The 19,730-nt window shown below is 44.4% G+C and overlaps 1 protein-coding gene across 26 annotated transcripts in view, besides 1 other annotated feature; it reads left to right on the top strand.

Annotated features, from left to right (window-relative positions):
- NTRK3 (neurotrophic receptor tyrosine kinase 3) overlaps positions 1-19,730 on the top strand; it is a 396,989-nt gene that overhangs the window by 226,557 nt on the left and 150,702 nt on the right. The window contains exon 13 of one of the 26 annotated variants that reach the window (XM_024449935.2): positions 18,877-18,969. Within the exon in view, the coding sequence (XP_024305703.1) occupies positions 18,877-18,944 (68 nt within the window). The 3' untranslated portion in view covers positions 18,945-18,969. 26 annotated transcript variants of the gene reach the window in all.
- Positions 7,646-8,845: an enhancer, noted in NCBI's record as "CDK7 strongly-dependent group 2 enhancer chr15:88564569-88565768 (GRCh37/hg19 assembly coordinates)". NCBI's record gives its function as "activates an origin of replication core promoter dependent on BRD2, BRD4, P300/CBP, MED14 and CDK7 cofactors, with strong dependence on CDK7, by STARR-seq in HCT116 cells {active_cell/tissue: HCT116}" and the evidence as "EXISTENCE:reporter gene assay evidence [ECO:0000049][PMID:35650434]".

Genomic DNA, 19,730 nt, shown 5'->3' with positions numbered 1-19,730 from the left:
TGATGAGACTTGAAGGAGCAGGGGAAAACAAACAATGCCTTATCAGAGGAAAATCATGAGATGACTCCAGATCATCAGAACCCTCTGATGCTGGGGAAAGTAGCCCTTTTAAAGAAGTGGGACTTTCTGTTCCATCAGTAGACAGCAAATGGCTCCTAATTGTTTTCAGAAAACATGAGTGGCATGACAGACAATGAGCAGGAGCATTGTAGCTGCATTTGTCTAATCCTCCCTCTGCTAATCCTTTGGTGACTCACACAGACAGGGTGAAAGGGGACCCAGGCCAGTCCTCAGCAGAGATTTACTGGCTGAGCCAGCAGCAGGTCTCTGATTAACCAAGCCTTCATCAGTCGAGGGAACAGACTCCAAGACACATCCCTGTGTGCGATGAGCCACTATCATAAATAATTAAAGCCACATGCATCTTGGCATATAAATAAGTGGAGAGTATTTATGGTGTGGCAGATAAGGCCAGGGTCACTCCTTTAGGGGGATGGCAAGAACCAGGAAGGTTAAGAGAATAAAAATGCTCACATTGTGAATCCCCCAGGGGGTCTCCTCATTCTGATTCCCTTCTTTGTCCCATTTAAAAATGTGTAATGTGGGGTGGAATTGCATGAACATAATGCTACCTGACTTCACCCCTTATTTCCCCATCCCCCCAGTGATGGATTAAGCACAAATGTGCTTTTCTTTCTGTACTTATGTATTTATTATAAACAGTGGGATCTTTCTGATGGAAATGATTAGGATGCTGGTCCTCTCCTTGCTTCTCACTTTCTATCTGCTTTCAATCTGGTCCATAGCATTTTTCCTAGCATGTCAGGCTGCAAGGATATTTAGAGATCACCTGGTACAATCCCTTATCAGATGCTTGCATCCCCACACCTATGTTCCCAGCAAGGGCTCTGCATTTGACATTGTCTTTATTCTGCATTTATTTAGCCTTTCCAGGGATTCCGAAAGAGCGGAATAAAGATGCTCCTAGTTTGCAATGTATACAGAACCCAAAGCCTAATAAAGCCCCCCTCATTATTTTTGTATAGCCCTCTGGTTCTTGAGAGCATCAGGAAATGGATACAGCCCTCCTGGTCACACAGCTGAGGACCCTAGACTTTGGGCCAGGTCCGATAGAATGAGAAGTCAAGGGACCAGTCCAGATGGGTCACTTGGGAGAAGCTAAAAGTTATTTGTAGCAACATTGGACCCTCAGTTACCTTTGTCACCCATGTGGCAGCTCTGGACTGCAGTAAGTTGTTCATGGATGAGGGCTGGACTGCTTGCTGCTTTCTCAGGAGTCACACATTGGCCTTTTCCCATAAGCCAGTTGAAAGGCTTCTTGGTTAATCTTAAGGATGAACAGGGTTCTCTGTTCATCCTTTTCTCCCCACACCCATACTCTTGGTTGAGAAAACAGAGACCATCTGGGGAGAGGCAACTGCCTCTGCCCCGTCCTTCTGTCCTTGGGTGTCCTTGTCAGCCTTTGCTCCCATGTTGTCCCTGTCTCAGAGGAAGCAGCGTCTCCATCTTCCCAGAGTCATCCCCTCCCAGCCTTCCCAGTCTGGGTCTGCAAAGATGGCCTGTCTCCATCCTGGTTGGCCCGCCCTTTCCTCTCTTCTCCCCCTTGAGGTAGTGTCTGTCTGCTCCTCTGCCCATCGCCACACCTCTTGTAGGTCTCTGTCCTGAAGGTCCATCTGTTTCTTTTCCCCAGGAGCCCCTCCACTCTCCATCCAAGATCACTTTGCAAAACCTGACCATGTTCCTTTGAGCTTCCTTTCCTCCTTAGCATCCGAGTCACTTTCCACTGTGCTGATTTTTCCCCTTTTGTCTATTTAATCCATGTTTATTGAGGGTTTGTGTCAGCCTTTCTTTTAGGCACTGGAAACACTGGGGAACAAGAGACACATGGTCTCCACCCTCATGGGCTCACGTCCAACCATAGCTGAACACCAAGACATGGGATGGCGCCCCCTGCTGCAGGACCACTGAGAGCACCTTGTGCCCTCCCTCCCTCCCTTCCTGTCTTGCTCTCTTCTTCAGCTTTCTGCTGATGACTCACCAGCCTTTATTCCTTCTTTCCAGATCATCATTCCCACACCTCCAGCCACTACCTTGAAATGCCCATTTTCCCTCCTCACCCTCACTCCCTCTCCTTTCCTTCCACACCCTGTTCGTCTTTTAACACCTCTTTCATTTCTCGCTTCTTGTGAATTCTTCCTAGCCCCATGCTATCGCAATGGGACCTTTCCTTCCTTCCTTCTAACCCATAGCTTAGTCAGTGCCATGCCCCAGTCTTGAATGACTTTGAGCCAAATCATAGGTCAGCCTGCCGTTTCTCAAATATACATGTCCTGTTTCCCAAACCCGACTTTGAGTTTATTCCTAGTGTCATAATTCTTTATTTTCAACAGAAACCACAGCATGGAACTAGGGTCAAAGAAGGTGCTAACTAAGATGTGTCAGATGACTCCACGCCCAGGCTCTCTAGAAACTCAGAGAGGGGCCAGGCACGGTGGCTCACGCCTGTAATCCCAGCACTTTGGGAGGCCGAGGCGGGGGGATCACGAGGTCCAGAGATCGAGACCATCCTGGCTAACACGGTGAAACCCCGTCTCTACTAAAAATACAAAAAATTAGCCGGGCATGGTGGCAGGTGCCTGTAGTCCCAGCTACTCGGGAGGCTGAGGCAGGAGAATGTCATGAACCCGAGAGGCGGAGCTTGCAGTGAGCCGAGGTTGCGCCACTGCACTGCAGCCTGGGCGACAGAGCGAGACTCTGTCTCAAAAGAAAAAGAAAAAGAAACTCACAGAGAGGAAAAGGAAAATACTATTGATTTGTATCAACAGCCTCTTTAGAGCAAGCACTGGGCTGGTGTTTTATGTTTTTTTTCTTATGCGATCTTTAACTAGCTCTCTGAGGGGGAGCTACTACTCCCATTTTATAGCTAAAGAAACTGAGACTCAGAGAGCTTAAGCTACTTGTTCCAGATCATACAAGAGAGAGCCTGAGATTTAAACTCAGACCCGCTACCTCCAGCATCCATCCCTCCCCTATCAAATCTCGTTGCCTAGACTTCTAGTGATTGACATATACTCAGCAAGGCTGGAGGTAAGGGAAGCAACCTATTAAGGACAGTTCTTTTGTTTTGTAGAGGCTCATTCTTCTGTTTCTAGGATAAGGACAGCCCTGTATAGGGTGTTCAGGGTTGGCTGAAGGCCTCTGAAGTCATGAGGCTGGGCCAACCTGGGTCTGGCTGTTGGCACTTATTACCCCTCTCTGAATTCTCCATAGAATCAAGTTCTTGAGGGGCCATGACTGCCTTCAGATAAGGTGATACCTGGCCCTGGGGTTAATTTTTATTTATTTTAAAGAACAGTTTTAGAATAGGTTTAGATTTACACAACAATTTCAGAAAGTACAGAGAGCACCCACATATTTCCTTTAAGTCCCCACCTGTCACTACAGTTTTCTCTATTATTAACATTTTGCATAATTATGGTATATTAGTTGCAATTGGTGAACCACTATTGATACATTTTTATTAATTAAAGCCGCAATTTAAGAAGGGTTCACTGCTTGTGTTGGACAAGTTCTGTGGGTTTTGACAAAAGCATAGTGTCATGTATCCACCATGACAATGTCAGACAGAATAATTTCACTGTCCAAAATGTCCGCTGTCCTCCATCTGTTTATCCCCTCACACCCTTCAATCCCTGGCGACCACTGATCTTTCTACTGTCTCTATAGTGTTGTCTTTTCCACATGTCATATTGTTGGAATCATAGTGTGTAGCCTTTTCAGATTGGCTTCTTTCACTTAGCAATATATGTTTAAGGTCCTCCATGTCTTTTCCTGGCTTGATCGCTCATTTATTTTTTTATTTTTTATTTTATTTACTTATTTATTTATTTTGAAACGGAGTTTCACTCTGTCGCCCAGGCTGGAGTGCAGTGGCGCATTCTTGGCTCACTGCAAGCTCCACCTCCTGGGTTCACACCGTTCTCCTGCCTCAGCCTCCTGAGTAGCTGGGACTACAGGCACCCGCCACCACGCCTGGCTAATTTTTTGTATTTTTAGTAGAGAAGGGGTTTCACCGTGTTAGCAAGGATGGTCTCAATCTCTGGACCTAGTGATCTACCCGTCCCGGCCTTCCAAAGTGCTGGGATTACAGGCGTGAGCCACCGTGCCTGGCCTGATAGCTCAGTTATTTTATTTTATTTCTTTTTGAGACAAAGTCTTTCTTGTCCCCATGCTGGAGTGCGATGGCTCAATCCCAGCTCACTGCAGCCTCCACCTCTCGGGTTCAAGCGATTCTCATTTATTTTTATCACTGAGCAGTACTTCATTGTATGGCTGTATTACAGTTTTTATTTCCTCACTTAGTGAAAAGCATTGTGTTAGTTTCTTAGGGATGCCGGAATACAGTACCATAAGTTGGGTGGCCCCAAACAACAGAAATTTTTTATCTCACAGCTCTGGAGGCCCAAAGTCTGAAATCAAGGTGTTGACAGGGCCATCCTCCCTCTGAAACCTATAAGGGAATCAATCCTTCCTTTCCTCTTCCTAGTTTCTGGTGGTGTTGCTGGGAATCTTTGGCATCCCTTGGCTTGCAGCTGCATCACTCCAACCCTCTGTCTTCATAAGACTGCCTTTTTGTAAGAACACCAGACATATAGTTTTAGGGGCCCATCCTTATCCTCACTTAAGTAATCACATCCACGGTGACTCCATTTCTAAATAAAGTTTACATTGTAAGGCACTGGGAGTTAGGGCTTTGACCTAGCTTTTTTGAGGGGGACATAACCTGTAACAGACAACTTCATTGCTTCCTCTTTTGGGCAATTATAAATAAAGCTGCATAAACATTCATGTGCAGGTTTTGTGTGGAAATAAGTTTTTAACTCATTTGCATAAATATCTAGACACGTGATTGCCTGGTCATGTGGTAAGAATATGTTTAGCTTCATAAGAAATAGCAAAAGTGAATGGTTATACCAAGTGAGGTTCATTGCATTTCACATTAGACTGGCTTTCACCAATCAGCTCCTGCCCGAGGGTCTCCTGGCACTTGTGGATGCACACTGTCCTTCTTGGTGTGCCTGGTGAAGTGTATGTGTTGTGTGTGTGTGTGTGTGGCCACACACGTGTGATTGTACCAACCTTTCTCTCTTCTGCTCTAAAGTATACCGGTAACTGATGACTGTGTAATTCTTATTGGATATTCACATTGACTAATAGTGAGCATACTTCACTTCTAAGCTGTCATCGGTCAAAGACCAATTGCCATGTTTACTAAAAGACTGGCACCTCTTGGTACCAACCAATGTGTCCATGCCTTCACAGCATTTCAAAGGCAGCTTGTCAGGGTGATTCTCCATGATGTCAGCCCTGAACCCCACCTTTCCAGGCATCCTAATTCTTTTCACTTTCCCAGAAGTCTTGTTGACACTTTCTCTTTCCCTACATGTCACTTTCAAGCTGGTTTCCATGCTGAATCCATTTTTCCACATGAGTTTCTAGATTTTAAACTATAGATGTGCATTCAGCTGCTCCTGGCTGGTCACCCCTTCCCATTTCTTTCCTAGATCTGTCCTACATCCTCCCTGGCTGACCTGGTAGCTCTGTCTTGGCGTCGTCTTGGCCCCTCACTCTCATGACATTGCCAAAACTCCATCTCTGTTGGTTCTCTTCAACTTCCTTTTCTCTTTTACTCCTTCAGTCAGTCAACAAACATCCACTGATCCCTTCTTAAGTACCAGGCACTCTCTGTTAGGCCCTGGGGATAGAGCAGACAACCTACCCTTTCTTACCCCTCTTTAGCTACAGAGCAGTAGTGTGGAGTTCCTGGCCTCACTCTCTTTCCCTAGGAAAACTGCTTGATGCATTCCCCTCTAACATATCAGCCCACAAGGCAAAGAACATCTGCACAGATAACCAAAGCTGGAACTGCTAGATCTGTGCACTGTCTCTTTAGCTGGGACATCAGAGTGTGCAAGCGGCTTATCTCCTCCTTTTCTTCTGGGTCAATTAACCATGAAGCTTGCTTTTTCTGGAAGAGGAATTGCCCAGGCCAGTTTCCAGCTGTGGTGGGGAGCACAGAGCCTGTGTGCATAATGCAGTATTAACAGTGCATCAGCGTGATATAGATTTCTGTCACCTTCTATGCTAACAAACATCGCTTAGCGTAGGGTAATGATGGGTGTTTATTCCCAGCCACTTAACTCAGCATAATGGACTTGCAGATGAAATACGGAAAATGGGCTCCTTTGTCTAGGAGGCTGGGGCCCTTCCTGGAACCAGTAACAGAGGCAACAGCAGCAGCTGCTACTCCTGCAGAAAAAGTCTTTCTAGTTCTTTCTCTAGAAGAAGTCCGGGATGGACTTGCCTGATGCAAAGAAGGAGATCTGGTTACAGGGCTGGGCTGGGAGCATGGGGTGTGCGGCTGAAGAGGGTAGGTTGGCATACCAGGGGCTGCTGTTAGCTTCCTGCGGTTGTTTTAGGAGGCAGGCTCTGCTAGATGTGACATGGGAGAGAAATAGGACCAAGGTGGGTGGGGGATTCTGATGGGTCCCCTCTTTTATTCTCCTGGTTGGATCTTGACAGTCCACTCTAGGGGAACCATAAGATGAATCTTGGTGACTCTTGGTTAATAATGGAAACATTTAGCTTTAACCTTTTTCACCAGTTCAGTATCTCCAGGCCCTGCTTGGTAGGCAGTGTTTCATAAAACATTTTAAATGGACATAAATTAGTATTGTCTCCCTCTGATTTTTCTTCAATCTTATCTTCAGATTCAGTTAGAATAACTAGGAGACCCCCAGGAATTCTGTGATGCTAGGTTTGGTAAGCCCAAGGTCTCTGGAGGGAGGGATGAGTCTGAAGACATTACTAGTATTCTTTCTTTGTAGAAAGAGCTGGATGTTGCCAGAATGAGATATCTTGGGAGCCAAGCAAATAAGTCCTGGGCCCATGGGCTTGAACTTTAGTATACATACAAGCTTGTCCACAGAGTCTCAGCCTCAAGATATTAATCTCTGCTGGGTGCTGATGTCTGAGTTCCCTAAATGTTGGTACAATCCAAGCATAGCACTTTGACATTTTTCCCCCATTCCTGGAAGAAAAAAATCATATGAAGCCATTTCCCTGAAATTAATTGAAAACACTAGACTTTCCTAGCATGCACTTTGGAGCTAAAACCAACTAGTTCAAAGTGACAGATTAGCATTCATCTCCCTGGGCCGAGACCACCTGCCATCCTTGTGGTTATCATGACCTCATCTGCTCTGTGCCTCACTGCCATAATCACATACTCAAAGTTAGTAGCTGCATGCAGTCATGCTAATTAAGTAATTAGGTCTAATTATGCTCACTGTAAATACAAGGTAATTGGCTTTAAAAAAGTACTTGAGGGATAAGCATTCACTTCATGGTCGAGGAGGGGAAGAATGATGAGACCCCCAGCCAGCTTGGAGTAATGTCATTTCCCGGTGGGATGGGAGCCCAGGGGAAGCTGCACCCAAAAGCTGAAGGTGGGCAGAATATGGAGTGGGTCCTTTCTGTTTCGCTCAGTGGCCTAGAAACAGAAGGACTACTTGTCTTCCTGGCATGTTTTGGCTTCAGTCTTGTCTTCAAGGAGTAAGAGGATTAACTTTTCTCCAGAGATCCTTTCTAGCTCAAGATTTCCCAGAGATAAGTAATTTATGTTTTTTCTTCGTCAACTGGATTCAGGCATCCAGTCTGTATTGGAGTTTTAAAGGGTCATAATTCTGAACCAGGTAAAACATATACATAGGGGTCAGATAGGAATCAAAAGATGAGCATTATTGTTGCGCCCAAGAAGGCAGCTTGGGCGTAAAGCCAAAATGGGTTTTTTGGTGCTTCTCCTGTCTTGAACTTGGATGTACAGATAGAACTTGGGTTTGCTGAGCAGATATTATTCATTCAGTTGCATGGAAGGTCATGGTTTACCTTACCTTTTGGAAGCCAGAGAGCTTAAGAACACCCCAGGAAGCTCATATGCACAGGGAGAGACTCCCTTTCCTTCATGAACTTTGCCCAGAAGAGAAATGTGATGGTGGATGATGGACTCCGCCCTCATCACCCATCAAATAAGTCACTTGCTTTTCACAGGGAGAAGCCAGGAATGCAGGGTAAGGGAAGGGCTTAGGGTTACTTCCCATGTCTCCAAGGAGTCAGACATTCTTATTTTAAGGGCAGAAGTTAAAAATCAGGGAAAGGGAAAAAGATCTCCTTCTCCCACCTACAAGCAGGAATCTCGGTAGTTGATGGTGGTCTCTATTAGTGTTCTCTTTCCAAAAGCCCTTTTCCAGGAGAAAGCAGTCATCATCTCCATCTTGCTGTGAGTGAACACGTGAGTCATACCTTATGACAGATGTCCCAAAGAATTTGTCGGTTCTCATTCCCCTTGCACTATATTGTTGATGGTCAATAACTAAAAACCAAAGCTCTACCTACATCTTAGCCAAGAAGCCAAGAGTACAACTGCTCTTCCATCTTCTCTCCAGCTGCCTTTAATTCATTGTTTTGCAAATTGTTCTCTGAAGGATACGAATAGGCATTGCTTAAAAAAAAAAAGTTTCATGGTAAAATAATTTTGGGAAAACCTGGATTAAGTAACTTTCGTACTGTAGGATTCTGAGAGCCTTTAATTCTAGAGATCCCTGAGACTTACCAAGAAGGACCTTTGGTCTGCAGCACTTCTCAAATTTCTTGAGCTACTGAACCTGATTTTGAGGTATACCTGTTAGCATCTCTGTAGACACAGATGTTTCAATGGATCCCATTCAGGGCTGTTCTGGGGTTTGGGGGCTCCATTGTTGCCTCCCCAGCAGGTGTGGTCACTCACTGTGACAGTGCCCAGATGGGCCTGAACCCATTTGGCACAGGCACTGTCACATTTCCTCTCAAGCCCCTCGGAGGGACAGGACGTAGCTGCATTCCGTGGGAATAGCCCGAATTGGGGTGGTAACATTCTTCAGGATTTCTGGCAGAGCACTAAGTGCCCTCCACTTAAATGGATCAGGGGATCTTTGCCTGTTGTTCTCTTCCTAGAAGCTGTTGCAGGTGCTTCTAACACTTCCTAAACCCCAGATCCGGAGATGCTGGTCATGGCCAAATTTTCACTGCATTCCTCGTTTCCAGGCAGATCTGCTGCCTCTTAGGAATGGAATCTTAGGGAGCTGCTCCAAGGAGAAATGCTTAAATCAAGATGCAGGCAGCTTTCTCAAAGTCACTGTTTCCAAACAATTGTTGGGAAGGTCAAAACATCTTATTTAAAGAAGAGAATATAATGGTCTTGGCATGGAGTAGGCAGGGTCTAGCGGCTGAGAGAATGAGCTGAACTAGGGGGTTACAGAGGATCCTTTTTCATTAGAAACAAAAGTGACATGAGAGTGGGTGGCCTTAGACCCAGGTCCCAGCCTACCACTCAGCCACTGCATGACTGTGGGCAAGACACCTGCCTTCTCTAAATTTGAGATAAGAAAAGGTGACCACCTTGGCAGGTATCTTTTGAGATGAAGCGGTAGGAGAATTTGAAAATACTCTGTAAACTTGTATAAGTGACAATATGTGATCATCCTTGCCTTGACAGCAATATTTTTACAACTATCATTACAATTTCTGATATAAATATGCTGTTGGGGGAAACCAGCTTGATGGTACTGAAAAATATATTTTCCAAGCTTGGATTTATTTCTGAAAAAAGAATCCCCTCCAGCGACTTCTTTCCCCCAACTCTAAGAAGCAGCATTTTATCACCCGGCTCCACAGCTATGAAGATGCTCTTAGGAGTCGGAACTGTAATATGTTGGTTGTCAGGAAATGATGGATGTAGATGAGCAGAGGGCTCAGGCCAATTTCCTTTTGGGTTAATGAGACCGAAACTCTGTGGGCTCAACTAGAAGGTGGCAGAGAGATTCATGGCGAGATTCTTTTGTTTGTGTTTTTGTTTGATTGATTCTTTGTTTCACCCTTCCCTTTGTCATCAAACTTAATTTTGTTGAAACAAATTCCCCTTCTCCCCTGTATGCCTGCCCATGTGCTTTACGCTGAGTTCTCATATGTTTGTGCCTGCACGGTCCCCTCCGAAGTTAGGGCTTCAATGTCTGTCTGCTTATTTGACTTCGTTTTTGCTTGTCCTTAGACATGAGTGCACAGCCCTTTTGTTTTTTCTTAGCAAACTTACACATAGGATCTTCAGACACAAATGTACATATGTCTGAGTCTTGTTCATATTCTCATGTTTTAGACACTGATTGTATCAGTTGAGATCCTTTTGACTGAAAGTACAAGATAATCCTGACTCACTTGGCTTAAGACGTTGATCATCACATAACTCAGCTAAACAGCTAGGGAAGGATCCTGATGAAGTGTATTAGGACTCTAGCTCTACTTTTTGTGATTCTCCTGCCTCTGCCTTTCTGTATTTTGCTATATCACCAGGTTAACTTCTCTCATGGCTACAAAATGGTTGCAGCAGATCCAGGCATCACAACCAAACACATGGACTAGGGGCCCCACAGGGTTGTCTTTTCTTGTGGGTGGGTTGAAACTGAGAAAGCTTTTCCCAAAGCCCCTAAGTAGTCTTTCCTGTTTCATTGGCCAGAATTATGTCATATGTTTATTCCCAAGCCAGTCATTCTTAAGGGGAATGGAATTACCCCCAAGCACTTTAAGCTCCTCCAGATTCTCCCCTGGGGCTGGGAATGGAACTCATTTTCCCTGAGGCATATGGTTGCCTGGAGGGCATATGTCTCCATAGAATCACAGGGCTCTGTTAGCAAGAAACAGGAAGTGGCTGTTAGAAATGACAGTACCTGCCACCCAGGTCTCCTCCAGGAGTAAAGCAAATGCTCACCTAGGCTTTCAGCCTTGCAAATACTGTCATCCTGCTCCTCTAGGAGTAAGCAGGTGCCTCTTGGGGTACAGGGGGTAGAATGAAGATGAGAACATTGATACCGTGTACATTTTACTCCTTGTATCTCTCCTCTTAGGGAGAGCAACCTAGTAATTTGTTGTTGTCATCATCACTGTTCTGGTCTGGTAAACTGTCCTGCTAATGTTCAAGGCTAGACTTGTATGCCTGGGTGATGAAACATTTCTGCTTGTGGTTTTAGCTGGATCCAACTATCTTGGTTGAGCAAGCTGTGTGAATTCCTCAGAGCTGCTATGTGATCCTTTGGGAGCATAGCTTTTGGAGAGTAGGTGGGAGCAGGTAGGTGGTGAAGAGAGGGGAAAAGGGGGAGTAGTAAAAAAATAAAGAAATGCATTAACATTTACTGAATACTTACCAAGGGCCAGGCTCTGAACTTGAAGTACATTCAAATAATAATAAAATCATACACTGCGTAGTGCTTTTTATATCTTAGGCACCAAAATCAGTTTAAATATAATAATAAATTGTTTAATCCTCATAAAAATCCTATGAGGTAGCTTCTATTACTTTCCCCATTTTGTAGGTGAGGAAACTGAGGCACAGGGAATGGTTAAAATGTTTGCTAAAGTCTTGCAGCTAGAAAATGACAAAACTGTGATATGACAGAGCCCACCACCCCCTCTTCTTTTCATGAAGTCATTCTTTCTACATTAAATCAAGCTTTAATGTAAGTGTAGTGTTCCCCACTTTACAGATTAGGCATTTCCTAGGGAAGCAAGGAAGTTAAGGGACTTGCCCAAGGTCATTTACTGGTCAAAGGTAGAGCCAGGATTCAAACTCTAGAGTTTAGGAGCATGCCACTTCTACTAACCTGGGATACCCCCTCCCACCGTCAGCTGACTTCCAATTCACCCACACCCCCACCTTTTGGGAGATCTTGGAGACTTTCAGACAGATACCAGTTTGGGTGACCCATGGTGCTCACCAGTGAGGCAGCAGAAGGCAATTCCTCTCTAGCACTTTAGCTCCTATGTAGTCATCCCCCTCCGTGTGTCCACCCCAGGAGGCTCTTTGGAGCTTCAGATCCCCATGAGGCAGGCCTCCCAGAAGCAGGGTCCAGCTAGAGATGGGCATTGGTGGTGATGCAAGAGCTACCCTTGAAGGAGAAGAGCAGAAGTCCTTGGATCCAAGTTGACCTATTTTTGGCCGAGTCTCCTTTTATCCTGTCGCTGGTGGATCTGTAGCTTGATTTGTCACCCAGATTGTGGCTGGGCCTCTCAGCAGGCAATGTATAAGCTTCTGTCCCCAGACCTAGAATTGCTGGTGATATAGCAACTCTTCGCATTGGATTCTGCTGAGTCGAGCAGCCCTCATGCCACTGGTAATGAAGAAGTGTTGGGATTAAACTCCTAATGGCTCATTGATTGGTTGAATTATGCTCAGTGTAATTCTGAAAATAGATTTTAAATATGTGCTTGGGGATTTGTGGGGATTTGTTACTTAGGAGCTTTAACTAAATCATGGCTGGTTTGACAGAGACATCAACACAGGGAGCCTGTGCCTGGGATGTGATGTTCATCTCTGGGTGACCCCTCTCCCCCTATTCCCCAAAGTCAGGAAAATGTGCTGGGTGGGGTGGCTAGGGGTGGGATGGTCCCCCCTCCCTTCACATATATTCCTTTGTTCAGGTCTTGAGAAGGTCAGCTTGGTTGAACCAACCACTGCAAACCCCTCAATATTGCTAAGGTGAGATGGAGACATCACAGGTTCTGGATTCTCCCTTTTATTTCCTCTGAAGTTAAGAGCAGAAGTTGTCTTCTTTCTAACTCCAAGCTTTCACTTTTCCTGGAGCTGCCACTCTGGGGAAGAACCAAAGGGGAAGCCTTCATGGATGCTTAGCTAATCAGCCTTTTGGCATATTCTGGTGCCGTCTTTTCCTTCTGCATCCTTGTATCCTAGGTCTAAAGGGGGAGCTGTATGAAGGGTTCCTGGTCTTGGGCTGAGCTTCTAACATCCATGCTTCTTTTGGTGAATGCCAAGTTAACTTGGAGACAATAGAAAAGCTAATGAAGGCCCCTCTGTGAGGGAGCAATCATTAGAAAATAATAATCAGAGACCTCCCAGCACACCCCAAATCACTCACCTTATATTTCTTTCCCTCTGGTCTATCAGAAACCTAAAATGCCTCCCATTTTTGGTGCAAGGTAGATCAGAAAGAAACAAGGGATGTTGTAAGTGAGGCTTAATGAGGCAAATTTGAAAGATGCAGTTAGACCATATTTCCATGGGGAATTTGGTCAGGGGCTTTTTTTTTTTTTTTTTTTTTTTTAAGCTTCGTCTCTTCCATTTTAACCTCTGTCTGAAAGGGTATATTCCCCTTCCCTGGGATAATTTATACTCAGCCAGTCTTTATGAAAGAAAAAAAAATATCCCCAGAGAAGGGAGGAAGTAAAAACAAAACCTGGAAGAAAAGAAAAAAAAATGACACTCTCCTCTAATAAAGAAATTACTGACGTTCTACATTATGAACTGTATTAATTTTTAATGGCTGAGAAAGGAGTTGATTTATAATGCATCCTTCCCGGCTGCAAAGCCTGTCCCCAGCTAATAAATAAATGACAGGTCTCTTGTATTAAAAGTATCCATCATCTTACAGTGTTGGAATGTAAATGGTGAGAGGCATTGAATGAGAGGCCCCTGGGAGGGGGTGTGCCCTGCTGTGCCCAGCTGGAGAAGAGCCTGCCATAGCATTCTGCTTAGTTCTGACACAGCTTAGCCCATTCCTTCATCTTGTTTTCAGCAAAGTGATCCAAATAGCTGCAACTCTTACGGTCCAGGAGAAAGTTCATAAGAAAAGGTGATGGGCCATTTAGGAACAATTCATGATGTAAATTTAAATTCCTGGTGTTTAAGCAAAACTGTCCATGGCTTCTCCTTACATATCCTCAGGGCTTCCTCATTGGCTTCCCATGCATCTCTGGGATTATGTGTTCAGTAGTTCATCCTTTGATGGTGGTCACAGCTCTGGTTAGCCTCTCTATGTCTCTTTAGAAAACAGACAGAACACCTAACATTTGTTTCTGGTTTCAAAGTAATATACAATCACTGAAAATATTTTGAGGAAAATCCAGAAAAGTGAAAAGAAGAAAATAAGAATCATCCCTAATGCCACCCCAAGTGATGAATGCATGACATTTTGCCTTATATGCACAGGCTAATAACATACGCAGACATGTACACATCAACATGGACATGTATAGCACACACAAATGAGATCATATTCTGCATACGGTTTCATAATCTGAATTTGTCATCTAGTAGCCTATCATAGACCTTTATTTCACAATGCCACTATTTTTAATGGCTACATAATACGTGGCCAGGCTATATTCACATTGGAGCCGCTGTAGAGCTGGCGATCAGTCAATCAAGATGCATTCCTTCGTTCTTCATTACAGTGCCAACTCCAGAATAAACATAGTGCAGGAGAAAAACTGAGTACAAAGATGATTTTTGCACAGAGCTCCTAATCTTGGAGCAACTACTATGCTGCAGAGTCAATGCAGTGAGGCTGAGAGATGAACAGAGTGGCATCATCCCCGCATGAGGGAGTCCACACTCCAGCTGGGGAGACAGGCCAGGAAACAGTTCTGGAGATATGAGCATAATGAGATGCCTGCCACAGAGACCCTGCAACTAAAGGGCCCAGTGTGCTTAGAGAGCAGTGGCTTGTTTAAATTAGGGGAGCAGAGGCTTGGGTAAAGGCTCCACAGAGGGGAGAGTGTTTGAGCTAGGACGCTGCGGGGAAACTTGGACTGGCAGAGATGGACAGGAAGGGCCTTCCAGGCCACCGTAGCAGTAGCAGGAGGCAGACAGGGGGCAGGGTTTGGTGGGGGCAGGGCTGGAGGTGAGTGACCAGAGAAGGACTCCCTCCCGGGGTGGAGGGAGCAGGTCTTGTTGATGTATTAAATAGCATAGCTTATTGACACAATAATTACGAATTTATTCGTAGAATTTGCACTTACATAGTCCAGGCCTTTGTTTATCACGCTTGTCACTGTTTCTCAGAAGTAGGTGATGACTAGAGGAGTGAAGAAACTATCAACACTGTAATAAAAAAGGTAAAACAAAGTAGCAAGTTATTCTCTCTGAATTTAGGGACAGTTCCAGGCAGACATAGAGAGACCCCTGTTCCAGAAAGAAGAGAAATGAAACACTCACTGAATATACCTTTCAGCACAGGGAACGTTATGTAGAAAATGAGAGCGATCTAGCAGTTGCTGCCAGCAGGCTCCACTCCCTCTGATTTATTTATATTGTCTTCATAGGCTTATAAAAATGGAAGTTTGCCTAGATTTGGAGACTAACATTTCTATCCTTTCACATATGAATTTATTTCTTGATTTGTTGTGCATATTTCTAAACATAGATCGACCAATGACTTTTGCTTTTGGAAAAATAAAAAAGAAAATCTCGGAGCTGGTGAGAAGAGGAATCAGAGACCGTGTTCCTGCAAAGAACCTGCTCCGGTGTTGCCGGAGAGGTAGGCGGGGAAGCATCCAAGAAGCATTTATTCCTTGAGCACCTGAGAGAGCCTGTTTTTTTGGCAGGTGGAAAAGTGGCAGCCCAAGATCAAGTCCTAGCTGGTCTTGGTTTTATCACCAGTTAGTTGCAGTTGCAATATGATCCTCGCTTATATTTTTGCCTTCAAATCTTGGACCCAAAATTATTCCAGCAATAGGAGTTGGCTGAAAGCTAAGTTTTTCCTTTCCTGCTCTTTAATTCTCATTCACTTAACTTCCTTGTAGAACATAGAAGTTTTTTTAATCTGAAAAATATCTCAGAGATCCAGTGAGACTTATCTTTTCGTTTAGTAGATGAGGAAACTGAGGGCCAAACACATAGTTCAATGATATTAAACTGCATAAGGATTTGGAAGAAGGAACAGGTCTAGGACCAATGGCTGTTGTCTCATGTTTCTCACTCCTGAAACTGTAAGTGGAAATGCAATCTTTTCATTTTCCCCAAAGTTGATGTTTTTTGTTTGGGCCATTTAATAAGGAATGTCTGACAAAAGTGAACTGTCTGACTCAGGTGCAGTAATTGCCACAGAAATTGGTTTTGGTGTCTTTGGGGAATTCTGCAGTTGAACCCAGAAGGCATCCTTATCAAGTAGCGTGTTCCAACACTTTTACAAATTCTAAGAGCCTCAGATATCACTGTTTTCCTTTGGAGCGATATTTTGTTATTTTAGTAAACTTTCAAGGGGCACTGCCACTTTGCTGCACTGGCTTCCTAGTGAGATACAGTGTTACTATCTTAAGTCTTTTTTTAAAAAAATTGAGACAGGGTCTCACTGTATCGCCTAAGTTGGATGGAGTGCAGTGGTGTGATATTGGCTCACTGCAGCCTCAATCTCCTGGGCTCAATCTGTCCTCCCACCTCAGCCTCCCAACTAGCTGAGACTACAGGCGCACCACCACGCCTGCTACCTGGGCTCAGTCAATCCACCTACCTCAGTCCCCCAAAGTGCTAGATTTATAGGCATGAGCCACAGTGCCTGGCCAAGTCAGGCCCTGCTACAGGATTTTTTGTACATGATCTGAAATGTTGTCTGCACTTGAAGGATCTCTTAGAAGGGTGTCTGAGTTCCTACTGGCATTGAAAAGGAAGGAAACTTGAAGCTAGGCATCTGTTTGATTCCCAGGCTGCTTTCATGTTACTTAATGCTGTCAGATCATAAAGGGAATTCATTTCTATTCCTCAACTTCTAAATAACTTCACACGATTTACAGTTGACAAACAGCACACTGGGACTCTTCTTGCATTTCATTGTTTCTGTGGAAAATTGGTTGATAGAGCATCACCAAGTGTATGGCTTCTTATCCTCAGGCATTTCTTCCACCAACACTGGCGATGGTCCACTGTGCACAGAGCTCTGGGTTAGAGAAGGAACCCTGTTCCTTTTTTCCACAGTTCTGTTATCTGGTTACGCTCTGACCTAGAGGAAGATGCGGGTATGATTTTAAACAGTCTTTACCAGTGCACGGTTTCACCTGCTGGTAGTGGGTCTTTACCAGTGCACGGTTTCAGCTGCTGGTAGTGGGTCTTTACCAGTGCACGGTTTCAGCTGCTGGTAGTGGGTCTTTACCAGTGCACGGTTTCAGCTGCTGGTAGTGGGTCTTTACCAGTGCACGGTTTCAGCTGCTGGTAGTGGGTCTTTACCAGTGCACGGTTTCAGCTGCTGGTAGTGGGTCTTTACCAGTGCACGGTTTCAGCTGCTGGTAGTGGAATTTCAGAAGACCGTTGTTCTTCGAAGTCAGGGGTTATCCAAGTGTGGTGTGCAGACCAGCAGCATCAGCATTAACTGGAAACTTGTTAGAAATGCAAATTCTCAGGATTCACTTCAGACCCACTGAATCCGAAACTCTGGGCATGGGATTCAGCAGTCTGCATTTCAATAAGCCCTCTGGGTGATTCCGATGCACATCAAAGTATGAGAAGCACAGTATAAGATATTGGTGTAGTTTCCTTTTTCCCCCGATCAAAAATATCTGAAGAAGCTGAGAAGTGCTTCAATATAGTTACTAATAGTGCATTATAAAACATTTATTTATTTAGTAAACATTTATTGAGCATCCATTAAGTTCTAGGTTCTGTATTGGGTGTTAGGAGCACAAATAAACCAGCAAATGGCTCATTCTGCTGTGGTTGTTTTGGTATGAACATATAGAAATACTTTTTTGTGACAGTGATATAAACAAGAGGTTCTCAGCCTCATTCTCACCCTGCCTGTGATTTCCGTGCTATTTCTGGGCCTCTCCAAATGGGCAAGTTTGCCAAAGCTCGGGGTCAGAGTGTCCTGAGTGAGAAGGAGGATGTAAGCAAGGCGCAAGAATGAGCCATGGCTGGGGGAATGTTGCCAGCTCTGCATTTTATTTGTGAATAATAAGGAAGGAAGTGAGAAGGTTTGTGTTTTAGGTTGTGTTAATACGTTTCCCTTATGTCAAAACCACCAACTCCTAGCACCCTGTCAAAATGGCTGCACTGAAATATCACAGTTCGTCGAGGATCTCATTGTCTTATAGGTTCGTGGAGGATGTAGAGATGGCAGGATGGCAGCCAAAGAGCTGAAGGTGGGATTCTGTGAAGAACAATGCATGCTCTCTCCTTCATGCTGCACAAGGCCGTAGGGTACAGGGTGGGTGAGCTCTGTTGGCTTGAACATTGGAGCCTAGACTTGCTGCTGTGCTCTCTCCCCATGTTTCTGTGTGTCTGTCATAAGGTGGGACTAATGGGAGGATCTGCCTCACTGGGTCTTCGTGTGTGTTAAATGAGGTAATGTACGTAAGGGATTTGGAATAGCTGCCTGTGTTTAGGAAGAAATGGCTCACTTCTGGCTGTCAGCACTATTACCATAGTCTGCCTTAGTTATACTACAGAAGAAATTCACTTCTGCACTACTGGGTCACCCCAGTGGCAGGCGAAGGGAGGGGCAGTATCTGGCTGTGCAGACTTTCCCTGACATTACTGATAAATCAACTTTCCCATAGAGTAATGTGCGGTGGGAAGTGTCTCCCCATGTAGAAGCTGGTGTCCTATTGTGCTGACGTAATTCAGTGGCCTGCTCATGCATACACTGCCAGGATGTGTATATCTTCAGCTGCGGCTTCTTTTCAGGGATAGACCCAACTCACCATGACCCAACCCCAAACTTCACCTCATTGCCAAAGTCAAGGAGAAGATTTTGCCAGAAAATATCAGATTACTGAGATTTTAATTATGATTTCCAAATGTTCTGAAATTATAGGAAGGTAGCAAATGCCCCATAGTGTGTTGAGTTGAGACATCTAACCTCTTCCTGTTTAATATGGAAATGTGCATATTTTGTAAGTCCTTACAGACTTACTAGTAGAGTCACATTCTCATTCATTCCCAGATAAACTTTCTTAAATCCTGTCTATTTTGATTTCTTAAAGCAAGCTGGAGACTGAGCTTTCTGTTGGTGATGAATAGGAATTCTAGACAGCAAGAAGCGAGAGGCTGACCTGGTGGAGGGAACAACAGATACAAAGGTGTGGAGGTGTTTTCTGGGGACACTCAGGAGCTCTGGATGAGTGGGGTGGAAGGTGTGTGGGTGGGATCCAGTCATGATGGCCTGTGTGGCATGCTTGTTCATTCCAAGCCATTTGAAGATAATACTGGATAAGAAAATATCCCTCAACAACCCATGGACCAGGAAGGAACGAAAAGAAAAACATGTCCAAAAGGATGGATTTTTTTTTATCCCTTCATGGGTAGTGTGGTGTGACGGCAAAACCCTGAACTGAAAATTTGCATTTTGGGAAGTCATTCATGTAGGGAGTGAATTAGAATGCAAGCCAGATCCAGGTAACTGCTGTGAATGCATGATGTGGTGGCAGGTGAATGAGTTAGGCACACGGAGATGTGTCTGTGAGTGGTACAATTAGCCCGGCTGTTTCCCAGGTTGCTTCTAGTGTGATAATACTTTGATTTTGTGTGTGTGTGTGTGTGTGGGTGTGTGTGTAAATTCCAGCAGTGCTAGAGGTAAAAATACATTTAGCAAGTTCTGTTATTGGCTCTTAAGTGGACAAAAATATAATGCATATTTTAAAAATAAAATTCTCCTTATTCAATAGGTTTATTACATTGCTTTTAGGAATAAAATCTGTTAGTAATATATAAATATCTTCACCATGTTATTCATCATTTGCCAAAAAAAAAGCATAGTTTCATTCTTCCCATCCTTTTCCTTTTCTTCCGGAAAAATTACTAAAAAGCTTGGAAAAAGAACTACCAGTTTATTTTACAT

This window comes from Homo sapiens, chromosome 15 (assembly GCF_000001405.40).
Source record: "Homo sapiens chromosome 15, GRCh38.p14 Primary Assembly".
NCBI lineage: Eukaryota > Metazoa > Chordata > Mammalia > Primates > Hominidae > Homo > Homo sapiens.
Note: the sequence above shows the minus strand (reverse complement) of the source record. Positions and strands in the feature narration are given on the sequence as shown.